Source organism: Homo sapiens, chromosome 2 (assembly GCF_000001405.40).
Source record: "Homo sapiens chromosome 2, GRCh38.p14 Primary Assembly".
Classification (NCBI taxonomy): domain Eukaryota; kingdom Metazoa; phylum Chordata; class Mammalia; order Primates; family Hominidae; genus Homo; species Homo sapiens.
The window spans coordinates 135,491,376-135,513,911 of NC_000002.12; the positions used below are offsets into that span (position 1 = coordinate 135,491,376).

Genomic DNA, 22,536 nt, shown 5'->3' on the forward strand with positions numbered 1-22,536 from the left:
GCTCTATCACCCAGGCTGGAATGCAGCGGCACAATCTTGGCTCACTGCAACCTCCACCTCCCGGGTTTATGCGATTCTCCTGCCTCAGCCTCCCGAGTAGCTGGGATTACAGTAATGTGCCACTATGCCTGGCTAATTTTTTGTATTTTTTTTTTTGAGATATAGTCTCACTCTGTTGCCCAGGCTGGAGTGCAGTGGCGCAATCTCAGCTCACTGCAACCTCCACCTCCCTGGTTCAAGCAATTCCCCTGCCTCAGTGTCCCAGGTAGCTGGGATTACAGGTGCATGCCACCAGGCCCAGCTAATTTTTTTTGTATTTTTGGTAGAGATGGGGTTTCACTGTGTTAGCCAGGATGGTCTTGATCTCCTGACCTTGTGATCTGCCCGCCTCAGCCTCACAAAGCGCTGGGATTACAGGTGTGAGCCACCACGCCCAGCCACATGAGTATTTTTATAAATGAAAAGTGTAAGTATTATTAAAGATACAAAGGTGAACATCAAAAAAATAACCAATTGATATCGTGCTCAGAAAGGACAGAGAGGGAGAAAAAGGCAATATACCAATGTCACTGCATATAACTGGGAATAAGAAAACAATACGTAATAAAATAGAGAACAGAGTATATTACACAAAACATTAGTTATAAAGATAACCAGTGGATTCCAAACCAAACCTTTAAATTACTAATGGTTTATACTAAACGAAAACAGGAAAACATGGATTATATAATGACATATTTAGTGGATCATAGAATGATCATATAATAACATATTTTTAGGCAACAGAAACCATAACAAATACTATGATAATTGCATAAAGACTAAATATAACTCTAATATCAATGAATGAAAGTGAGTTTAACACTGTTACTTAAGAGAAAAGACAAACTGAGTAACAAAGTGAAACCTAACCTTGTAACATAAAAATTTATCTAAAGGTTTCAAAAACGTTGAAAATAAAAAGATGGTTAAAGGCATGCTAGGAAAGCATGGACAGAATGAAATAGTTGTTGGGATACTAATTACAGATCACATTCAGAGGACGAAAGGAAAGAACTAAGTGATTTTATAATAAAGAAATTTTATAATGATAAAGAGTATAATCCAGAATGAATGAAGACTTAACTGTAAGGTGTCTGCTCCCAGTACTATGGTGTTTTAGATATTCTAAAAATCCCTCCTTTTGCAAACACCTAGAAATGCTAAATTAGGTAAAACATTATCTTTTAAAATGTAGCACCAGTCTGAAGAAAAAGTAAAGGTAATTTACAATGTTCAATGAAAATTTACAAAGAGAAAGTCAAACATACAGTGATGAGTGATAAAAACACATGCTACACTGAAGGTGTCTACAGAAGCCACCAACAAAGAACCTTAGGACTGAAGAACCATGCAGAGCAACAAGAATAAGGCCCTAGACCTAAAAGAAATAGATAGTGGAAATAAGAGTCCTAAATAAAGCTTCAGCCTAAGAAAGCTGGAGATTAAATGAAAATGGAAGAAGGGTGACAATAGAAAAAGGGATCCAGTGGCAAAAGGAAACAAACAGGAAATAGATTTAGACATATGTGGTCAATCAATTTTTCACTAAAGTGCCAAGGTAATTTATGGGAATGATAGATTTTTCTACAAATGGTGCTGAAATAACTAGATATTGGTATGAAGGAAAACAGAACCTAGAACTCCTACCTCACCCCGTATTTAAAAATTGAGATGATACCAAATATATATATATATATATATATATATATATATATATATATATATATATATATATATATATATATATATATATATAAATAGAAAAAGGAAAACTATAAAGCTTCCCGAAGAAAACAGAAGACGATTTTGTAATCTTCAGGTAGGAAATGACTTGTTCAAATATAAAAAGCACTAACTATAAAAGGAAAACTTGATGAAGTTAATTTTATTAAAGTTAAAATTTTCTGTTCATTAGAATACTATACTACAAGGAAAATCAAAAGGAGGCTACAGACTAGGGAAAATATTCACAAGATACATATCTGGCAAAAGTCTTATATCTAGAATATAAAAAGAACTTCCAATAAATAATAAAAAGGCAACCCAATTAAAACAAGGGCAAAACATTTCAGTACTTTACAATGTATCTATTATATGTTGTATATAACATATATAACTATATAAGGATGATCTGTAAGTTCAGGGAAACATGTTCAATATTATTCAGAAAGTACAAAGTAAAACATAATAAGCTACATCTCGAATAGTCATTCATTTTGAATGCCTAAAATAAAAAAGGCTAACAACATCAAATGTTGACAGAGATGTGGATCATCTAGAACTCTCATATATTGTTGACAGATGGGAAAAAGTTGGACAGTTTTTAAATAAAGTTAAAGCACACTCCACCCAAAGAGCTAACAAGAGAACTGAAAACATGTCCATAGATGGACTCATCTAAGAATGTTAAGACTATCTTTATTCATAAGAGCTCTAAACCAGAGCCAACCCAAATGTCCATCACCAAGTAAATGAACAAAATAATTGTGACATATTCAGAGGTAAAACAACATAGATGAAATTGCTAAAACATTATATTGAGTGAGAGAAGATCCACATAAACTGCATGATTCTGTTTGTAGCATGTTCCAAAACAGAGAAAACTAAGATACCATACAGTAAGAAATTCATGAGTCCATCTGAAGGATGGATGGATGGGAAGATGAATGGATGGATAGAAATAGAAAGGAGGGAGGGAGGGAGGAAGGGAGGGAGAGAGGGAAGGAAGGAAGGAAGGAAGGAAGGAAGGGAGGGAGGGAGGGAGGGAGGGAGGGCGCGGTGGCTCACGCCTGTATCAGGAGAATGGCATGAACCCGAGAGGCGGAGCTTGCAGTGAGCTGAGATCGCGCCACTGCACTCCAGCCTGGGTGACAGAGCAAGACTCCGTCTCAAAAAAAAAAAAAAAAGAAAAGAAAAAAGAAGGAAGGAAGGAAGGAAAATAAAGGAAAGAAAGAAAGGAAGGAAAGGAGAGGAGAGGAAAGGAGCAGAAGGGGGGCTCTTCTTTACAATAAAATGCCAATTAATAAATCATTTTACAGCCATCATGACAAAATTTGATTTGAACAGGAATCATCTATGTATGCTAAATCCAAGAGAGGGAAAATCAGAGAAGGAGCAGCATATTTGCACGGTCATAATATCTCATGTTAATTGTTACATACTAAACAACTGTGAGAAGCAAAAATAGTAACTATACAGTGAAACTGGACCAAACTTTGGCCAGGAACTTGGCCTTGGGGCTAAGAGGCTCAAAATAATACCCTGAGAAGAATATGACCTCAATCTCACTATGTACTGATGCAGGAAAGATTGCATAATCTAAATCTCACTGTGATGAAACATTATAAAAATAAGTTGAGGCCAGTGTCATGAAAGGGTAAGGAAGTGTCCCACATTAAAGGAAACAAAAAGATATCATTAAATGCAGTAAGTGATCCTGGATTAGATTTTCATATTGAACAAAAAACATGCTATAAAAGACAGCATTGGGACAACTGACAAAATATATTAAAGTATTGTATAATAGTTAAATTCCAGCCATGTGCAATGGCTCATGCCTGTAATCCTAGCACTTTGGGAGGCCAAAGCAGGAAGATCATATGGGGCCAGGAGTTCAATAGCAGCCTGTACAACATAGCAGAACTCTGTCTCTATAAAAAAATACACTGGGCACAGTGGTGTGCACCTGTAATACTAGCAACTTGGGAGGGTGAGGTCAGAGGATCACTTAGGGCTGTGAATACGAGGTTACAGTGAGCTATGATTGTGCCATTGCACTCCAGCCTACGTGACAGAGTGAGATCATGTTTCTAAAAAAACAAAACTAAGAATAAAAAAAAATAAAAAGTTAAATTATTAAATTTGGTAACTGTGCTGTGTCTATATAAGAGAATGTCTTTATTTTTAAAAAACACATACTATATTATAGTATTGCATATTATTCTTATTTTTAAAGCAAGTTTATTAGGAAAGTAAAGGAGTAAAAGAATGGCTACTCCATAGGCAGAGCAGCCAGTTTCGCAGATTAAAGGAGCATAATGTATGCAACCTACTCTCAAATGGTTTATAAAAACATGAATGCAAGCATAGGTGTATATATGTGTATGTTGTTTGTGTAGAGAGAGAGAATAATAAAGTAAATGTGGCAAAATGTTAAAAATATGTGACTCTAGGTAAAACATACATAAAAGTTATTCTCTATTTTTGTGACTTTTCTGTACATTTGAAATTACTTCAAAAAGTTGAAAAAAATACAGCACCAAGTAACTATAAAAAATATACTTTAGTGACAGAAGTCAGATCAGTGATTTTAATTTAGGAGGATGGGGTTGTTTAGAAAGAGGCCTACTCTGAGTGATGGTAATGTTTTATATCTTGACTGAGGTTTTTGAAAACACAGGGGTATTCAGTGTATCAGAATCTACAAAACTGTGCACCTCAAATCCATATATTTTATTAAATTAAATTATACTTAATTTTTTAAGCTAACAAGGAAATTTAAAGCTTGGCAGGAGATGAAAATTAATGATCAAAATTCATAATAGTAAGCCTACCTAAAAATGAACTTGAGGTTTGAATTTGTATTACCTGTGTGATCTTGGAAACTGCAAGCCAAGAATCTAATTTTGCAAATCCTCCATTGAAGAATTTACTCATTTACATCTCTCAAAATTTCCACAGACTGGCCAGGCGTGGTGGCTCATGCCTGTAATCCCACCACTTTGGGAGGCCAAGGCGGGTGGATCACCTGAGATCAGGAGTTTGAGACCAGCCTAGCCAACATGGTGAAACTCCATCTCTACTAAAAATACAAAACATTAGCCAGGCGTGGTGGCGTGCGACTGTAATCCCAGCTACTCGGAAGGCTGAGGCAGGACAATCGCTTGAACACAGGAGGCAGAGGTTGCAGTGAGCCAAGATGGCACCACTGTACTCCAGCCTGGGCAACAAGAGCAAAACTCCATCTTAAAAAAAAAAAAAAAAAAAAAAAAAAAACGAAATCCGCAGATTAAGATTATTTATTAAAACAAAATTTAAGACATCTGCAAATACACTGGGAAATAAACCATCACATAAAACAATAAAAGGCAAAATTAACCTCTAAAGGACCTCAAATATGCAAATAAGTATGACTTACATAAATAAGTATGTTCTAAATATTTAAAGAAATACGACACAGAACCAAAACATTGCAAAAAACAAGACACTACCAACATAAGCAGGCAGAGCTGAACTCGATATTCTAGGAGTTAAAAATATACTTTCTGAAATTAAGAACAGAAAGTTAAATGTCCCTGTTCTCCAATTTCAAGAAAGGAAAGGACTAACTGTTCTCTGGTAGTCAGCTAATCCCTAAACTATACACAGAAATTTCAGACAGTCCTTAAACACTCCTGTTTTTGAAAGTCTTCAGGCTTCCAAAGCCCAATGCGATACCAACTCTTCGCTTTGTTTAGAATGTCATGGCTAAGAAGCACAGTTCTCCCTTGCTTATCAAGAAAGAAATTGAGTGGTTTCTCATTTCAAGTATATTGAGTGATGGTCTCATCCTTAAGAGAATCCAATAAATTAATTAACAGCAAAAGATAAAATCAGTAAGCTTGAATATGGCTAAATACAAAATATCAAAACTGCAGCACACACAAAAAAAGATAAGAGATATACAGGACACCGAAAGAGCAATTAAGTAAATGTAAAAATAATTCATATTCATGGAATGAAATACTCTGTATTATAAATATATAAATTCTCCCCAAACTGATCTATAGATGCAGTAAAACTCCATTCACAAATCCAGCACTTTTGTGAAAATTGATAAATGACTTCTACAATTTATATGTAATGCAGAGTCAATAATAGCTGAGACAATTTTGAAAAAGAGTAAGGCTGAAAGATTTATACTGCCTGATACCAGAATATTTATTATAAAGCTACGCTAAGAAGTATGAAGAAGTATGGTACTGACACAAAGATGGCAAACAGAGAAACAAAACAAAGAATCTACAACTGCACTATTCCATATGGTAGGCACTAAACATGTAACTATTTAAATTTGAATTAATTAAAATTAGTAAAATTAAAAATTCAATCATTAGTTGCACTAGCCACACTTCAAGTACTCAATAGCCATCTGCAGTGAATAGCTACTGAATTAAACAGTACACATAAAGAATATTTCCATCACAGCGGAAAGTTCCATTAGACAGCACTTATCTAGAAAGGTATACACATAAAATTACTTGATTTATGACAAAAGTAACATTACAATGCAGTAGGAAAAAGTCTTTTCAATAAATTGTGCTGGATCAAGTAGACATTCATATGTAAAAATAAATTTAAAAATAAGTAAGTGAGGCTGAGCGCGGTGGCTCACACTTATCATCCCAGTACTTTGGGAGGCCAAGGCGGACAGATCAACGGAGGTCAGGAGTTCGAGATGAGCCAGGCCAACATGGTAAAACCTTGTCTCTACTAAAAATACAAAAATTAGCTGGGCATGGTGGTGTGCACCTGTAGTCCCAGCTACTCAGGAGGCTGAGGCAGGAGAATCGCTGGAACCCAGAAGGCAGAGGTTGCAGTGAGCCAAGATGGTGCCACTGTACTCCAGCCTGGGCGACAGCGAGACTCTGTCTCTAAAAAATAATAAATAATAAATAAATAAATAAATAAATAAATAAATAAATAATCCTGATGTCTACTTCATACCATATACACAAAACAATTCCAAGTAGATTGTAAATCGAATTAGTGTAAAAATTAAAACAATAAAGCTTTTAGAGGAAAACACAGGAAATCTCTTCATGACTTTGTAGTATGTTGCGGGAAGTCAGGGATCCCAAATGGAGGGACCGGCTGAAGCCATGGCAGAAGAACATAAATTGTGAAGATTTCATGGACATTTATTAGTTCCCCAAATTAATACTTTTATAATTTCTTATACCTGTCTTTACTGCAATCTCTGAACATAAATTGTGAAGATTTCATGGACACTTATCACTTCCCCAATCAATACTCTTGTGATGCCTGTCTTTAATCTCTTAATCCCATCATCTTCGTAAGCTGAGGATGAATGTCACTTCAGGACCCTGTGATGATTGCGTTAACTGCACAAATTGTTTAAACAATATGAAATGTGGGCACCTTGAAAAAAGAACAGGATAACAGCGATGTTCAGGGAACAAGAGAGATAACCATTAAGTCTGGCTGCCTGAGAGCCGGGGCCATATCTCTCTTCTTTCAAAAGCAAACAGGAGAAATTTCACTGAATTCTTTTTCTCAGCAAGGAACATCCCTGAGAAAGAGAATGTGTTCCCAAGGGAAGGTCTCTAAAATGGCCGCTTTGGGAACATCTATCTTTTTACGGTTGTAGATAAGGGATGAAATAAGCCCCAGTCTCCCATAGCGCTCCCAGGCTTATCAGGACGAGGAAATTCCCACCTAATAAATTTTGGTCAGACTGGTTGTCTTCTCTCAAACCCTGTCTCCTGATAAGATGTTATCAATGACAATGCGTGCCTGAAACTTCATTAGCAATTTTAATTTCTCCCCATTCCTGTGATCTCGCCCTGCCTCCATTTGCCTTATGATATTTTACCTTGTGAAGCATGGGATCTCTGTGACCCACACCCTATTTGTACACTCCCTCCCCTTTTGAAAATCATTAATAAAAACTTGCTGGTTTTGCAGCTTGGGGGGCATCACAGAACCTGGCAACATTTGATGTCTCCCCTGGACATCCAGCTTTAAAATTTCTCTCTTTTGTACTCTTTCCCTTTATTTCTCAGGCCAGCCGACACTTAGGGAAAATAGAAAAGGACCCATGTTGAATACTGGGGGCTGATTTCCCCAAACAGTAGTAGACAAAGATTTTTAAAATTTGATGAAAGAAGTGCCAGCCATAGAATGAATGCGGATAAAGATTATGTAAGATGACATTAAAATTGAGAATCTCTGCTTATCAGAAGACATCATTAAGACAAGGAAAAGGCAAAACACAACCTGAGAAAATTTACTTGCCATAAATATACCTGATAAAAGACTCATATCCAGAGTATACATATGACAAAAGGACTCCTACAAAACAATAAGAAAAAGGCAAATAGACAATCCAGAAGAAAAACAGATAAGAAATGAACAGGCATTTAAAAAAAGATGTCCAAATGGCTAATAAGCGTATGACAAGGTATTAAATTTTACTTATCATCAGAGAAATGTAAATAAAAACCTCAATGTACATCACTATATACCTACCAGAATATCTAAAATGAAAATAAAGATAGGCAAAATGAAGTGTTGATGAGGATGAGATATAAGTGGAACTCTTAAACACTGTTGATACAAGTAAAGATTGGTGAAATTACATTGGAAAATGTTTAGCAGTGGTATGGTTTGTATTATGTATCACCCAAATTCATATGTTGAAGTTCAAACCCCCAGTACCTCAGAATGTGACCTTATTTGGAAATATGGTCACTGCAGACATAATTACTTAAGATGAAGTCATTAGGGTATCACCAATGTAACCAATATGACTAGTGTCCATATAAAAAAGGCAAATTTGGACCCAGAGACATAAACAGAGGGAAGACAATGTGAATAGAAATAGGAAGAAAACAGTAGCCTACAAGTCAAGAAAGAGAGCCCTGGAAAAGACAATTCCTTCACAGCTCTCAAGAGGAACAAACCCTGCCCACACCTTAATTTTGGACTGCTAGCCTCCAAAACTGTGGGAAAATAAATTTCTGTTGTTTAAGCCACCCAGTTGCGGTATGCTTTTATGATAGTCCTAGCAAACTAATATAGGCATTATCTACTAAAGTGGAAAACATGCACAACCTATGACCTAACAATTCTTCTTGGTAGATATACATCAGAAATGTGTATATATATTCACCAAAAGATTTGTATAAGAACATTCATATCATTACTATTCTATGAGCCCCAAACTAGAAATAACCCAAATGCTCCATAGTAGAATGAATAAATTATGGTATATTCACATGATGGGATTTTACATGGCAATGAGAATGAACGAACTACAACCGCATACAAAAACATAGATTGAACTCACAATAATGTTGAGAAAAACAAGATACAAAAGAATATACAATTACAATAATATAGTTGAACAGGCAAAAGCAATCTATAACGTTAGAAGTCAGGATAGTGGTTACTTTTCAAGAAAAAGGAGATAGTAATGATTGGGAAGAGGCAAGAGGGAGGTTTCTGTGATGCTGGCAATGTTCTATTTCTCGATCTTGGTGATGCTATACTGTGAAAATTCTTCAAGCTATACATTCATAATCTATGTACCTTTGTCCATGTAAATTACATATCAGTAAAAAAAAAAAAAAAAAAAAAGTACTTTAAAAAACTGAACAGGTTGGTTAAACAGCAGATTAGACCAGCCGGTTGTGAATTCTATGAGAGAACTTGAAAACAGTCATAATGTAGCACAGACAGAGAAAATATAAGAGACATTAATAGAAGCATAGGATGAAGTAAAAAGGTCAAGTATAAATCTAACTGGAATTGCAGCAGACAAAACAAATGGGGGAGAAGCAATATTTGAAGAGGGAATAGCTGAGAATTTCCTAGAATCAACAGACACAAATCCCAGATTTAAAACGCACAATAATCCTAAACAGGATAAATAAAAAGAAAACCATACTGAATAGAGTATAGTGAAACTACAGAACTCCAAAGACAAAGAGAAAATCTTCAAGTCAGATGATGCACAAAGGAACAAAAATTAGACTGATTTTTTTTTATTTTGAAAAATTTCAAACTCATAGAAAAGCTAAAAAGAATAATTCAATGAGTGTACCCCACAGATTATGCCACTCACCAATGAAGACACCCACCAGAATATACTCCTCACTAAATTCACACTGTTAACATTTTGGCTCATCCACTCAAAATGTTTCTGAACATAAGTCCTTCCCTTTTGGGAAAATGTAGAAAGTATAGCACTAACAATAGCACTATTATTCTTTGTCTGAAAATTCTTTATCATGCATTTATCAGAAACAAGAACATTCTTCTATTCAATGACAACACCATTACCTCATCTAAGATAATCAACATTAATCCAATAACACCATCTAAAGAGAGTCCTGATGAAATTTTCCCAGTGATCTTAAAAGCGTTCCCTAAAGCTTTTCTTTTTGCTGATCCAGGATCTAATCAAGGCTCGTGCATTACTTTCAGATGGTATAGTTATTAGGTCTCTCTCAATTTAGAGACTTTCCTTGATACACTACTTCCTTTGATTTTTGATGACACTGAATCCTTTGAAGAGTCCAGGTCAGTTGTCTTGAAAAAATGTTCTACATTCTGGATTAGTTGGACTGATTCGCCATGATTCCTAGATCAAATGTTTCCAGTAAGAACACCACATAAGGTAATGTTACGTCTCTCCCGTGCACCACATTATGCATGTGGCTGTCCCACTATTAGCAATACCAAGCTCGGCCATTTTGTAATTTTTCCCTTTGTAATAAATAAGTCATCTGTAAGGTGATATTTTGAGACTCAAGGGTATTATCAATGACAATTATGGAAGCCAGAAGACAGGAGGATACCACCTTCAAAGTGCTAAGAAAAAAATAACTATTACAGCAGACCTATATTGCCAATGAAAATATTACTGAAGAATGAACTCAAGATAAAATATATCCTTAAATTATTTTTAAATCCTGAAATTATTATTTCATGGGCAAGTAAACAAAAAACTTGATGGGAAACATTGCCAAGTTTCCATTTGCCAAAAAACATAATAAAAAATTTCCACTACTAACATCATGCTTTCCGAAAAGAAAGGACAATTCTAAGCTTCCAAAAAAGAAGACTTAAGCTCAAAATAAATGAAAGTTCTCTAAAATGAATGAATTTTGCTTTATGAACAGCACACTTTTTATTTTCTCATTTTGCTACATGTATCCATATTTTGTTAGGACTGGTTAACAGTCCAGGGACAAGTGTTTGGAAATTACTAAGTCTAGCTATGAAAAAGGGAAAAGGCATTTTATTTCACCATTATGAAGAACTCGGGCTTCTTTTTTAACCACAGTAATTAGGATTATAAAATCCATTTCATAGTTAACGAATCTGAAGTATGAATTGTTAAAGAAGCATGCACAGCATCACAGAGATAGTAAGTGGCTCAGATTTCAACCAAGTCTAAACCTAAAGCGTACGTTCTTTCTACTCCGCCATAGTGAGAAGCCCAACCACACAAGTATGAAATACCTAAAGGAGTTAAAGGCTGTCAAATGGCAGTTTAAAATATCATTTGTGACTGAATCTTCAGGAATCTGAGGACCGTTAACACTGTGAATATGGAAGAGTACAACTTTTCTAACTCCATAAAAGCAATGGAAATCTACAGAAGTGATGTCTAGGCTGGAAAAACTGAGAAGATGCAGGTGTAAGGTGAAAAACACCAGATATATAACCTTAAGTGTCAACTAACAGCTATAAATACAAATGTGTACAATAGACACAAACTACTAATACATGAATCTCACTCAGTAAGATTACAATAATTTTAAGAAGTTTTTCATAAACAGCACATATTACTGGATTCCATTTATATAAACCATTAAAAACAGGCAAAATACAAAACATCAGATCAATGTGAGAGTGGGGACTGACTGAGAAAGGGAATGAAGTAACTTTCTAGGATGATGGGTTTGGGTTATAAGAGTATATGCATTTGTCAAGGTTTGTACATTTCATTAATTAAATCTCAACAGAAAAAAAAGTCTGTAAACAAATACGAATTCTGGTTAATCATACATATATTTAAGTATATATGGGAAAGTATAATGATGTCTGCAATTTACTTTGAAATGAATGAAAATAATAAAAGGGACTGATGGGACAGAAGGATAGAAGGATGGATTCATAGATAAATACGTGATAGACCAAGCATGGCAAAATGTTAATAATAAACTGTGGGTGTTGCCTCTACCAAGCATTTACTCTAACATTCTTTCAACTTTGTTGTATGTTTTTTAAACTGTTCATAATAAAATGTTGAAGAGAAAGTATATGATATATGTGACTGTGGAACTAAGACAATGTTATCCTTAAAAATATAGAAAACCATATAATGGCCCAATTTGATGGAAGAGATCATATAACTATCACAAAGTTTGAAAAAAGTAAAGAAATACAGACAGTAGTATAAGGTACTCATAAAACACACCCAGAAGTTGCTAAATCTAAGGTGGAAAATAAAAAGAATAAGAATACAATGGATGGGTGCAGTGGCTCATGCCTGTAATCCCAGCACTTTGGGAGGCGGGGCAGAAGGATCACTTGAGCCCAGGAGTTCAAGACCAGCCTGGGCAACATGGTGAAAACCCATCCCTTAAAAAAACACAACAAAAACAAAAATTACCCGGGTGTGGTGGCGTGCACCCTGTAGTCCCAGCTATTCAGGAGGCTGATGTGGCAAGATTGCTTAAAACCAAGAGACAGAGGTTGCAGTGAGCCAAGATCGTACCACTACACTCCAGCCTGGGTGAAAGGGCAGAGTCTATTAAAAAAAAAAATCCTTCTGGTAATAGACAAAAAAACAAAAAACGATGGAAATAAGTTGAATTAGTTTCATGTGAAAGCAATACATTCTAGAAAACTGTCAATATATGAGTTGCTGAGAGTATCTGATAACTGAAATAATTAAGATAACTGAACATACTTTCTCTTAAGAAATCACAATTGGTTCAATATATTTCAACATGAAGTATAAGTCAACCATAGTAAATGGATAAAGCTAACTTGGTCACAATCAATTCTACTAAAGAAAGACTGTGAATACACGAAAAGAAAGTTTGAACAGAACTTTGTTTTTAATACACTTTCCAGGAATTTAACATTTTTAGCATGTCTTCAAAGAACTTTACCTGCCATTTCTTTTGAGGGCAAAAATGATGCCATCTTTCTGGAATGGAAGTAGCTTTGCTCTTAGTCTGTCAGGCAAAAAATCCAGCAGATTATCAGATTCATTTGTCACACAAGAAATGTGAGGTGTAAGAGACTTTTTTATGTTATGAACCCTAGGCATGATGATCCTAAAAACAAAGAAACAACAAAAAAGGGAGGGGTATAAGAAATAGATATTACTAAGTATGTTACAGAATCACATATAAATAATATTAAAGTACTTATAAATAGCTTTGACATACCATTTATATAAACTAAATCATATTCTCACAGTAAGCTACTAAGAAAATTCAAAGCACTGAGTTTGAAAGCAATTACTTAATGCACTCTCTAGGAACTCAGCATGCACTATTTCATTTTGAGCCATAATACCATATACTATACACCAGTTTAACACCACAAATTTATTACTAAAAAATTATAAATAAACTAGATTTTTCACAAATCGAATAATTTTTAAAATAAGGGATGAATCTGCTAGAGAAAGATGAATCCTTTAATAATTCATCCTTTTATGGATCCACATTTTCATATCACACCAGATTTTCTAAGAGTGAGGTAAAGCTACATTTAAAAAAATTATAAAATACAAAGACATTAACTCCAAAATCAAATTTATACTAATTAAATTAATGTAATATTATTAAATTGTTTAAATATTAAAATTAATTCTTTTTAATGAGCTGAATCCACAGTATAGCACTTTGCCTGATTAACACCTTCCTCACCCCCTGGTTTTCCACAGATGTTACTGTAATTTTCTATGACATAAAAATGTCATATATCTGTAAATTCTTATAACTCTGGAAGAAAATGTCCTATTATACAACTACACTATAATGCCTATCAAATAATAATATTTTGTATTTAGATGGTACCCTGCCTTCTGTTTATATATTATCTCATCTTTAAAAAAAAGTTTGCGGGCCAGGCGCGGTGGCTCACGCCTGTAATCCTAGCACTCTGGGAGGCCGAGGTGGGTGGATCATGAGGTCAGGAGTTCAAGACCAGACTGGCCAATATGTTGAAACCCCATATCTATTAAAAATACAAAAATTAGCTGGGCGTGGTGGCGCTCGCCTGTAGTCCCAGCTATTTAGGAGCCTAAGGCAGAAGAATCATTTGAACCCAGGAGGCAGAGGTTGCAGTGAGCCAAGATCATGCCACTGCGCTCCAGCCTGGGCGACAGAGTGAGACTCTGTCTCAAGGAAAAAAAAAAAAAGTTTGCTTTTTTCCTCAATTACATGCAGACTTATATAACTATTGCTCTCTTCCATCCAAAAAAGTAACCAACTTCTGTGTCTACTAAGAAGGTCAAGAACAAAGCAAGTATTTATTTATTAATAACAAATAGGTACTACATGCCACAACCTAGAGAAGCAAGACCCACGCACTCGTAGGGTTTATATTCTTCAGGGGAAAACTAAAAATTAGCAAATAAATAAATATGACGGTTTTTCTTTTTTGTTTTCAGCTACACCTGATCGAATGGGAAGGATGATTAATTATAATATAGCACAAATAGTGTAAGGAATTTAAGAGAGTACTGGTCACTTTAGGTAGGCTGACCAAGAGTGGCCTGTCTTAGGAAGTGCTGTTTGGCTTATGGTCTGAAAGATGTAAAAAGCCACCCAGGATCAAAATTAAGAGAAGAGCAGTCCGAGGAAAGAGCATCACTGCAAAGGACCCAAATTGAGAAAGGGCTTGGTGTTTTCGGAAAACAGAAAGAAGGCTAAGGTGGACCAGACACAGCAGTTCATGCCTATAATCTCAGCACTTTGGGAGGCCAAAGTGGGCGGATCACCTGAGGTCAGGAGTTTGAGACCAGCCTGGTCAACGTGGCGAAACACTGTCCTACTAAAAATACAAAAATTAGCTGGGTGTGGTGGCACAGGCCTGTAATCCCAGCTACTCAGGAGGCTGAGGCACAACAATCACTTGAATTCAGGAGGAGGAATTTGCAGTGAGCTGAGATCGCACCACTGCACTCCAGCTTGGGTAACAGAGCAAAACTTCATCTCAAAAAAAAGAAAAACAAAAGCCAATGTGGCTGATGATCCAAAGGAGGGAACGGTGTAAGATGAAGCTACCGAGATAAACAAGAGCCAAATCATATACAGCCTTGATAATAACTTTGGATTCCTTTTTAAGAAGGAATGCTAATGGAGTTGTGCTGTCGCATACACCATTAACAAAATGTTTAATTAAAATTAAAATTAAAAATTCAGTTATCCAGTTTCACCAGCCATGTTTCACGGGCTCAACAGTAACATGTGTCTGGTAGCTATGATATTTAATAGTAAAGATACAGAACATTTCTCTCTTCACTTAAAGTTCTATTGGACAGTACTCAATGGAAGGTTTAAACAGGGGAATGACACAATCTGACTTACATTTCAAAAAACACCTGAAGGAGACAAAGATATCAATAAGGAGGCAGGAGATAAATGTTCTTATAGGATTTGGCCACTCAACAAAGCCTCCACTGCTTCAGTAGGCAATTGAATTTAGAAATGATTTATGAGTCAGTTCTGTCTGAATAAGGTCCTCATAAACACTCATGAGTGGCCCTCCCTAGGACCCTCTCACCACCACCACCCCCATAACAAAACTTAGCAAGGAATAGAGAATGGAGCAAAAAGGGAAAGCATGAAAGCAGGAAAACTGTTTTCAGGTTGCAACAGACAAGGCAAAAAACCTTTAGCAGTGAAACTGAAAAGATTCACGAAGTATATCAGAGGTAAAGCAAACAGCATCTGCTGATGCGGTACATGTAGAGAATAACAGAAATGTAGAATCAAAATGTGGACCTAGAGTGATGGAGTTAGTGATGCAATTGGCTGGGATGGTAAGGACTACAGAATAAATAAATTGGGTAGAAAAAAAATCCACAGATTTTCTTTGAGATGGCTATAAGATAAGAAGTGGAAATGTTGGGTATGCTTGAAAATATATGAGTCTGAAGTTCCTATAGGGAGAGATAGAGAATGGATACACACAAGAAATATCAGACACTTTCCCAGCCTGCCTTAGAGCTACTAATCAGATATACTATTGTGGACTTTAGAAAGTCAAAACTCAAAGGAGCAGAGATTAAGTAAAATTCCTTCTGGCAAGGCTAACAGCAGCAGAAAACCATGTCCACTTTCCAGAAGTAACAGGAGTTTCAGAAGCACTTTTTAGGGTCAATGGGATAAAGGATGTAATGTTTTAGGGTGGAACACTGGCAAGAAGTTAAGTAAAAAATTTTAAAAAAAAATGTTGCTGTCTATCATCTTTATTCAAGACTCCTTTTTTTTTTTTTCTTTGCTGGGTGCAGTGGCTCATCGCTGTAATCCCAACACTTTGGGAGGTTGAGGCAGAATAGCTTGAGGTCAGGAGCTGAAGATCAGCCAGGGCAAACAGCGAGATCTTGTTGCTTACAAAAGATCATAAAATTAGCTGGTTGTGGGGGTGCATGCCTGTAGTCCCAACTACTTGGGAGGCTTCAGAGGACTGCTTGAGCCCAGGAATTTGAGCTATGATCTTGTCACTGCACTCCAGCATGGATGACAGAGCGAGACTCTATCAAGAAAAGAAAGAAAAGAAAAGAAGGAAAGGGAAAGAAAAGAGAGAGAGAGAATAACAAAACAAAACGACTCCTTTACATTTTACTTAGTAAAAAATTTTAATAGACACTCCAAAAAAATCTGGTAAATTGGGGTCACTTTGCCACTTACATGATTTATTTTTATGAGGACTGACTCAGGCACAATATTTGTTTTTTGTTTTTTGTTTTTTTTCTTTTGAGATGGAGTCTCACTCTGTTGCCCAGGCTGGAGTGCAGTGGCACGATCTCGGCTCACTGCAAGCTCCGCCTCCTGGGTTCACGCCATTCTCCTGCCTCAGCCTCACGAGTAGCTGGGACTACAGGGGCACGCCACCATGTCAGGCTAATTTTTTGTATTTTTAGTAGAGACGGGGTTTCACCATGTTAGCCAAGATGGTCTCAATCTCCTGACCTCGTGATCTGCCCGCCTCTGCCTCCCAAAGTGCTGGGATTACAGGCGTGAGCCACCGCACCTGGCCAAGGCACAATATTTGTAAAAATAAACAATGAAATTAAAGTTATATTAATCAAAAATTTGTTTTAATAGGCACAAATAAGAGAAAAAATTAAATATGAAGATAAAAGAAATCTAAAACATTATGAAAATGTACAGAAAAAAATTTCAGTTGAATTTAAGATTATAGTGTGGTTCATTGATGATTTAAACAGATATTTGGATAAATAAAGAACTTAAAAATATGTAGTGGTACAATGTAATGAATAGAACATGAATGTTTTTGTTAATCCTAAAAATAATTTTTAAAATATTCTTTTCTATTTATAGGATCTAAAGTAAAAAAGGTGTAATAAAGAATATCTCATGTAGGTTCAGCCATATAGGTTTAATTGCTACAAAAAGTCAGTTGTAATCAACATTACATTAATAAAAGAAGATGCACATTTTAACTTCATTCTAGATTACCAAGAAATTAACAGTTACAATAATGTGCATACCTTTTTAATAATGAATACTTTATTCAGTTCAAAGGTTTAACTTAAAAGGTTTTATTCAATATATATATACTAATTTACTTATAGCAAGGCGGGGGGAGCCTATCAAAATGAAACCAGGAATACATAATTTAAAAAAAAATTTTCTTCCAGAAATATTTTAATAAACATTGACCATTTCCAAGAAACACCCACTGCATGCCCACCAATGAAAGAGAATCATAACAAAATAGAAAATTTACCATATGGCTATGATTTAAAGAAAAAAAAATGTGGACAGGAGCACATCAGCAAAGTCCATTATTAAAGTCACATTCCTTCTTATGGGCTATGAATAGGAGTCCGATTAGATACCAGAATAAAACTTACTACAAATGCTGAACCATTTAGGTCAAAGAACCTCTACAGAAGCATCTGTCTTCAAAGGGATTCTAGTTTGAGACTCAATTTTAGAATAAGGTATAACAAATAATGTTAACGGAAGACATACAAGGTGATAAAAGAGGGTTTCTACAATTCCCCACATGAAGTATAAGTCAACCATAGTAAAACCTAATAAAACAAATCTAGATATTAAAAACAATATCTGAACCTAATAAAACAAATCTAGATATATTAAAAAATTATTTTTCTTTAAACAATTGCCAAGACTAAAATCAAAGATAAACAGAAGGCACAACAGTTTTGTTCTGGTTGTTATCTGGGTTTTGGGAATATTTTGTCTTTTGTTTTTTTACAAATACAAATTAAACATGAAAAAACTCTACTTCAAAAAAACTAACAGTTCAAGAAAAGCCCATCCAGTTGCATTCTAGACATTTAAAACCTATACCACAATATAAATTTCAATGGTAAAAACGGTAGGTTTTAGAATTGTTTTGTGATCCTATATCAAAAGAAAAGTTCTATTCCTTTTATTGTTTTTAAACATACCAGCAAGAATCAAAATTGTCAAATTTTCCAAATTTTAAACATACCAGTGAGAATCAAAATTGTCAAATTTTCCAAACCCACTGTAAAAACAGGTTTTAGAAGTGTTTCGTGATCCAATATCAAAAGAAAAATTCTATTCTTTTTATTCAGTTTTTAAACATACCAGCGAGAATCAAAATTGTCAAATTTTCCAATGGCAATTTCTCCACACCAGAAAGTGGTTGTGACTCTCAAAGAAGTAACAATTTGGGGTTTTCCTGCCTTCAAAATGTTATCAAATCCTGTATTTCTCACAGGCTTTTGAAACACACAGAAAGTAAGAAATATTCCAATGAATGAAACGTACCAAATGTCAGTAATACGCAAGACACATTCCTTTGGGGAAATGGCTGTTAGGAAAAAAATCCAGTCTGTACATGCAAAATAAGCAAGGAAATTCAGTCTTTCTTTCTTCTTCTTCTTGAAAAATCCGTTACTCCTAAAATATCATTCCACAAAATTGGAAGTGAAAGACTAAAGGTCAGGAAAGGGAAGAGAGGGAGAAGGAGCACACATCATTAACACACAAAAGAAGTAAAATTATACTAACTTAAGCAGTTTATAACAAACTGGGGTCATACTCCAAGATACCAAAGGCTGGTCAAAGAAATTCACCATTCTGTAGGAGCTAGGGTTTGTATGGCCGCGTGAAGATCCATGAAGATTCACTGCCATGGAGCAAGCCTTCTTCCCACTCCAAATCCTGCTTTCTGCACCATGCCTCCATGAGGAGGGCCTCTCATTCCACCACCCAGCCCACATAGAGGGCCTCCAGGTCCCCTAAGGCGATCATCTCGTCAGTCCCCTTCCCTGGCAGCTCGAGTCTTCTTCTCTTCCACATTCAGACAGACCTCACCTCTGAACATGATGGGCCTGTTGCGAAGGACCTTCTGAACAGGCTCAGAATCATCAAAACAAAACCAAAACTGGGTAATTTCCCACCACTGTTAATGTGCAACTCCACCACGTTCCCATAATTTTGAAAGAAATCTTTAAGCTCTGATTTGTCCACTTCATGAGGCAGGTTGCCAATGAAGAGTTGGTGACTGTCAGGGTGTCTCACCACTCTTTGGGGTTCAATGTCACCTTGCTCACCAGCCTCACAGATCGGTCTGGGTCCCCTTTGGGGAGGAATATTTCTTCGTTGTTCTCACATCCTTTGATCCCTTTGAGGTTTCTGTGGTGGAATCTGAGATTCAGGCTTAGACTCTGTACAGGGCTGTGAAGCTAGTACTTTACCAACATAAGGAGGTATCCCAGTAACTGGAACAGCTCCACTGGGTTGAAGGTTGTTACTGGTCACAGATGCCCAAGAAAATGTCCTCAAGTCTTCCCATACTGTCTGAGATATGTCTGCAGGTGCTGGAGAAGAACTCTTCTGAGCATCCTCAGGAGCAGTTTCTTCTAATACTAGCTCAGACTTTTCCTCTTGGATTTCAGATACACATTCTTGTTCTGGTTCTGGCTCAGGATCAGGCTCCAGTTCAGCAACTGGCTCCTCTAAATGTTCTTCCACGTCATTACTGACAACTGCCTGATCACAGAAAGTTCCAGAATCATCAGGTACCACCTGAGGTGTTTGCTGTCTTTTCTTCACGTTCCTCTACTACTTCTTCAGACTCCTCCTGAGGCTCAGTGACAAACCCACCAAAGACCTCATCTTGCTATCTGAAGATATCATTGTGAACATAGAACTGATTTGCAACAGACCCCTCAGGAGCAAGTACGAACATCTGCATGAATCTCCTCAAAGCCTGGTTGTTGTTAGACAGAAGCCCCAACACCTGGACTACCACACCATCATTTAGTGTGGCATAAGCATCAACATGGAGAATCTTGGTGTGGCAGTTGCTGAAGTTTCGTGACATCACTTTCCTGTGGATTTCTTTCTGTCCATAAACTGCATCTGCTAGCTTTCTATTTGAATCCAATCCCCCATGGACATAAGAAGAGTTCCTTCCATAAAATCTATGCAGCATGTCTGGGGCCTAGTTCAGCAGTGTGTAATGCTGTCTCACAAATTCCCACCCAACCAGCAGGGGACTAGCCTTCTCCATCACCATTGCTTTGGTCAATTCAAACTGAGGGGAAAAAGTCAAATATGTCCAAACCTGTGCGGCTGAGCTGGAGAGGAACTAACTCTGCTACACAGCACTGATGATGGCAGAAACCCCTCATGCAACTGTGTCCGCACCAGCAATACATAATTTTTAATACCATGTTATTAAAATCAAAATGACAATATTGGCTAGGGAAATTTAGTGAAAGCAAAATCTAGTAGAACTTATTTTCTAAGCAATTTGCTTGGTATGGTACGCAACACTTGAAAAAAAGAAAGAAGGAAATACTTTCTATCTTTTTAGGTCAAGATAGTGTTTTTGTACTCAATTGAGAACAAGGCAAATTCAACTGGAATTCACTGACTCATTTAAGTAAATAGTAGAACTGTACTGAGGAGAATCAGATATTGTTAAAATACACTACCTAGAGACTTATTTCAGAAACAACAAGTAAATGGCGGGTCAGGACAACTATATAAACTTTGGGGAGATAATTTTTTTTTTTAATTAAGAATGTATTGGATGAAATTTACTGCAGAATAAAGAATTAGTAAATTAGAAAAGATATTAAATGTAAATGGACTAAAAACAAATGAAAAGATTCCTATATTAAATTAAAATATATATAAATTTACATGTTGCTTTTAAAAGACATACCCTTAAATAGGAGGATTCATAAACACTGAAAGTAAAAGAATTAAAAAAGACATATTATACATGCCAAAGTATAGCTAGTATTGCTTTACATTATAAGATAACATAGGTTTCAGGCAAAAAAAAATTATTAAAATAAAGAAAAGCATTTTATAATGATAAAAGATTTATTAGAAAAATTTAGCCTCAAAATATATCTTAATAAATATACAAGGCAAAAACTGATAAAAATAAAAGGAAAATTTGACACAACCATATCTATCTATAACCACAGTGGAAAAGTTTAACACATGTCTCTCAGTAATTGATTATGCAAGTTGATTAAATTGTAACAGGATAAAGATGATTTCAAGAATACAATAAACAAATCTGACCCATTTGGTGCAAAGACAGGAGTATTATTTTCAAGCTCATTGTGTGAAGCCAGCCTAAACAATCTCACAAGCACATTACAAGAAAAAACATACATAATACAATCTCTCATATTCATAGGTAAACAAAATATTAGCAAACCAAATATAGCAGTAATTAAAAGACTAAGACACCAAGACTAAAATGGGCTTATTTCAGGAATGCACAGCTGATTATACTTTCAAAATTCGATCACTGACAAGCTGATTCTAAAATTCATATGGAAATGCAAGGAACCCAGAATAGCCAAAACAATCTTGAAAATGAACAAAGCTAGAGGACTTCTACTTCCTGGTTGTAAAATTTACTACAAAGTGACAATAATCAAGGCAGTGTAGCACTACTAGCATAATGACAACCAGCTAGGTCAATGGAACAGAACTGAAAGTCCAGAAATAAGCCTTTACATTTACAGTCAATTTTTTGACAAGGGTCCTAAGAGGATTCAATAGGAAAAGAGTAACTTTTTCAACAAATAGTGCTGAGACAACTAGATGTTCATATAAAAGAATGAAATTAAACCCCCACCTCATGCTGCATATGAAAATTAACTTAAAATGGATCAAAGATTAAAACATAACAGTTAAAACTATAAAACTTCAAGGAGAAAACACAAGAGTAAACCTTTGTAATCTTGGGTTATGGTATGGTTTTAGACAACAACACTAAAAGCAAAAACATGAAGTCTTTGAACATGCCTATGTCCTGAATGGTATTGCCTAGGTTTTCTTCTAAGGTTTTTATGGTTTTAGGTCTTATGTTTAAGTCTTTAATCCATCTTGAGTTAATTTTTGGATAAGGTGTAAGGAAGGGGTCCTGTTTCAGTTTTCTGCATATGGCTAGCCAGTTTTCCCAACACCATTCACTAAATAGGGAATCAATAGGAAATCCTTTCCCCATTTCTTG

The 22,536-nt window shown here is 35.8% G+C and overlaps 1 protein-coding gene and 1 pseudogene across 3 annotated transcripts in view; both read right to left on the reverse strand.

The window, feature by feature from the left end:
* ZRANB3 (zinc finger RANBP2-type containing 3) overlaps positions 1-22,536 on the reverse strand; it is a 334,250-nt gene that overhangs the window by 294,407 nt on the left and 17,307 nt on the right. For all 3 annotated transcript variants that reach the window (NM_032143.4, NM_001286569.1, NM_001286568.2), the window contains exon 2: positions 12,954-13,121. In NM_032143.4, coding sequence (NP_115519.2) covers positions 12,954-13,114 — 161 coding nt within the window. In that variant the 5' untranslated portion in view covers positions 13,115-13,121. The remainder of the gene's footprint in view (positions 1-12,953; positions 13,122-22,536) is intronic.
* G3BP1P1 (G3BP1 pseudogene 1) lies at positions 18,974-20,699 on the reverse strand (annotated as a pseudogene).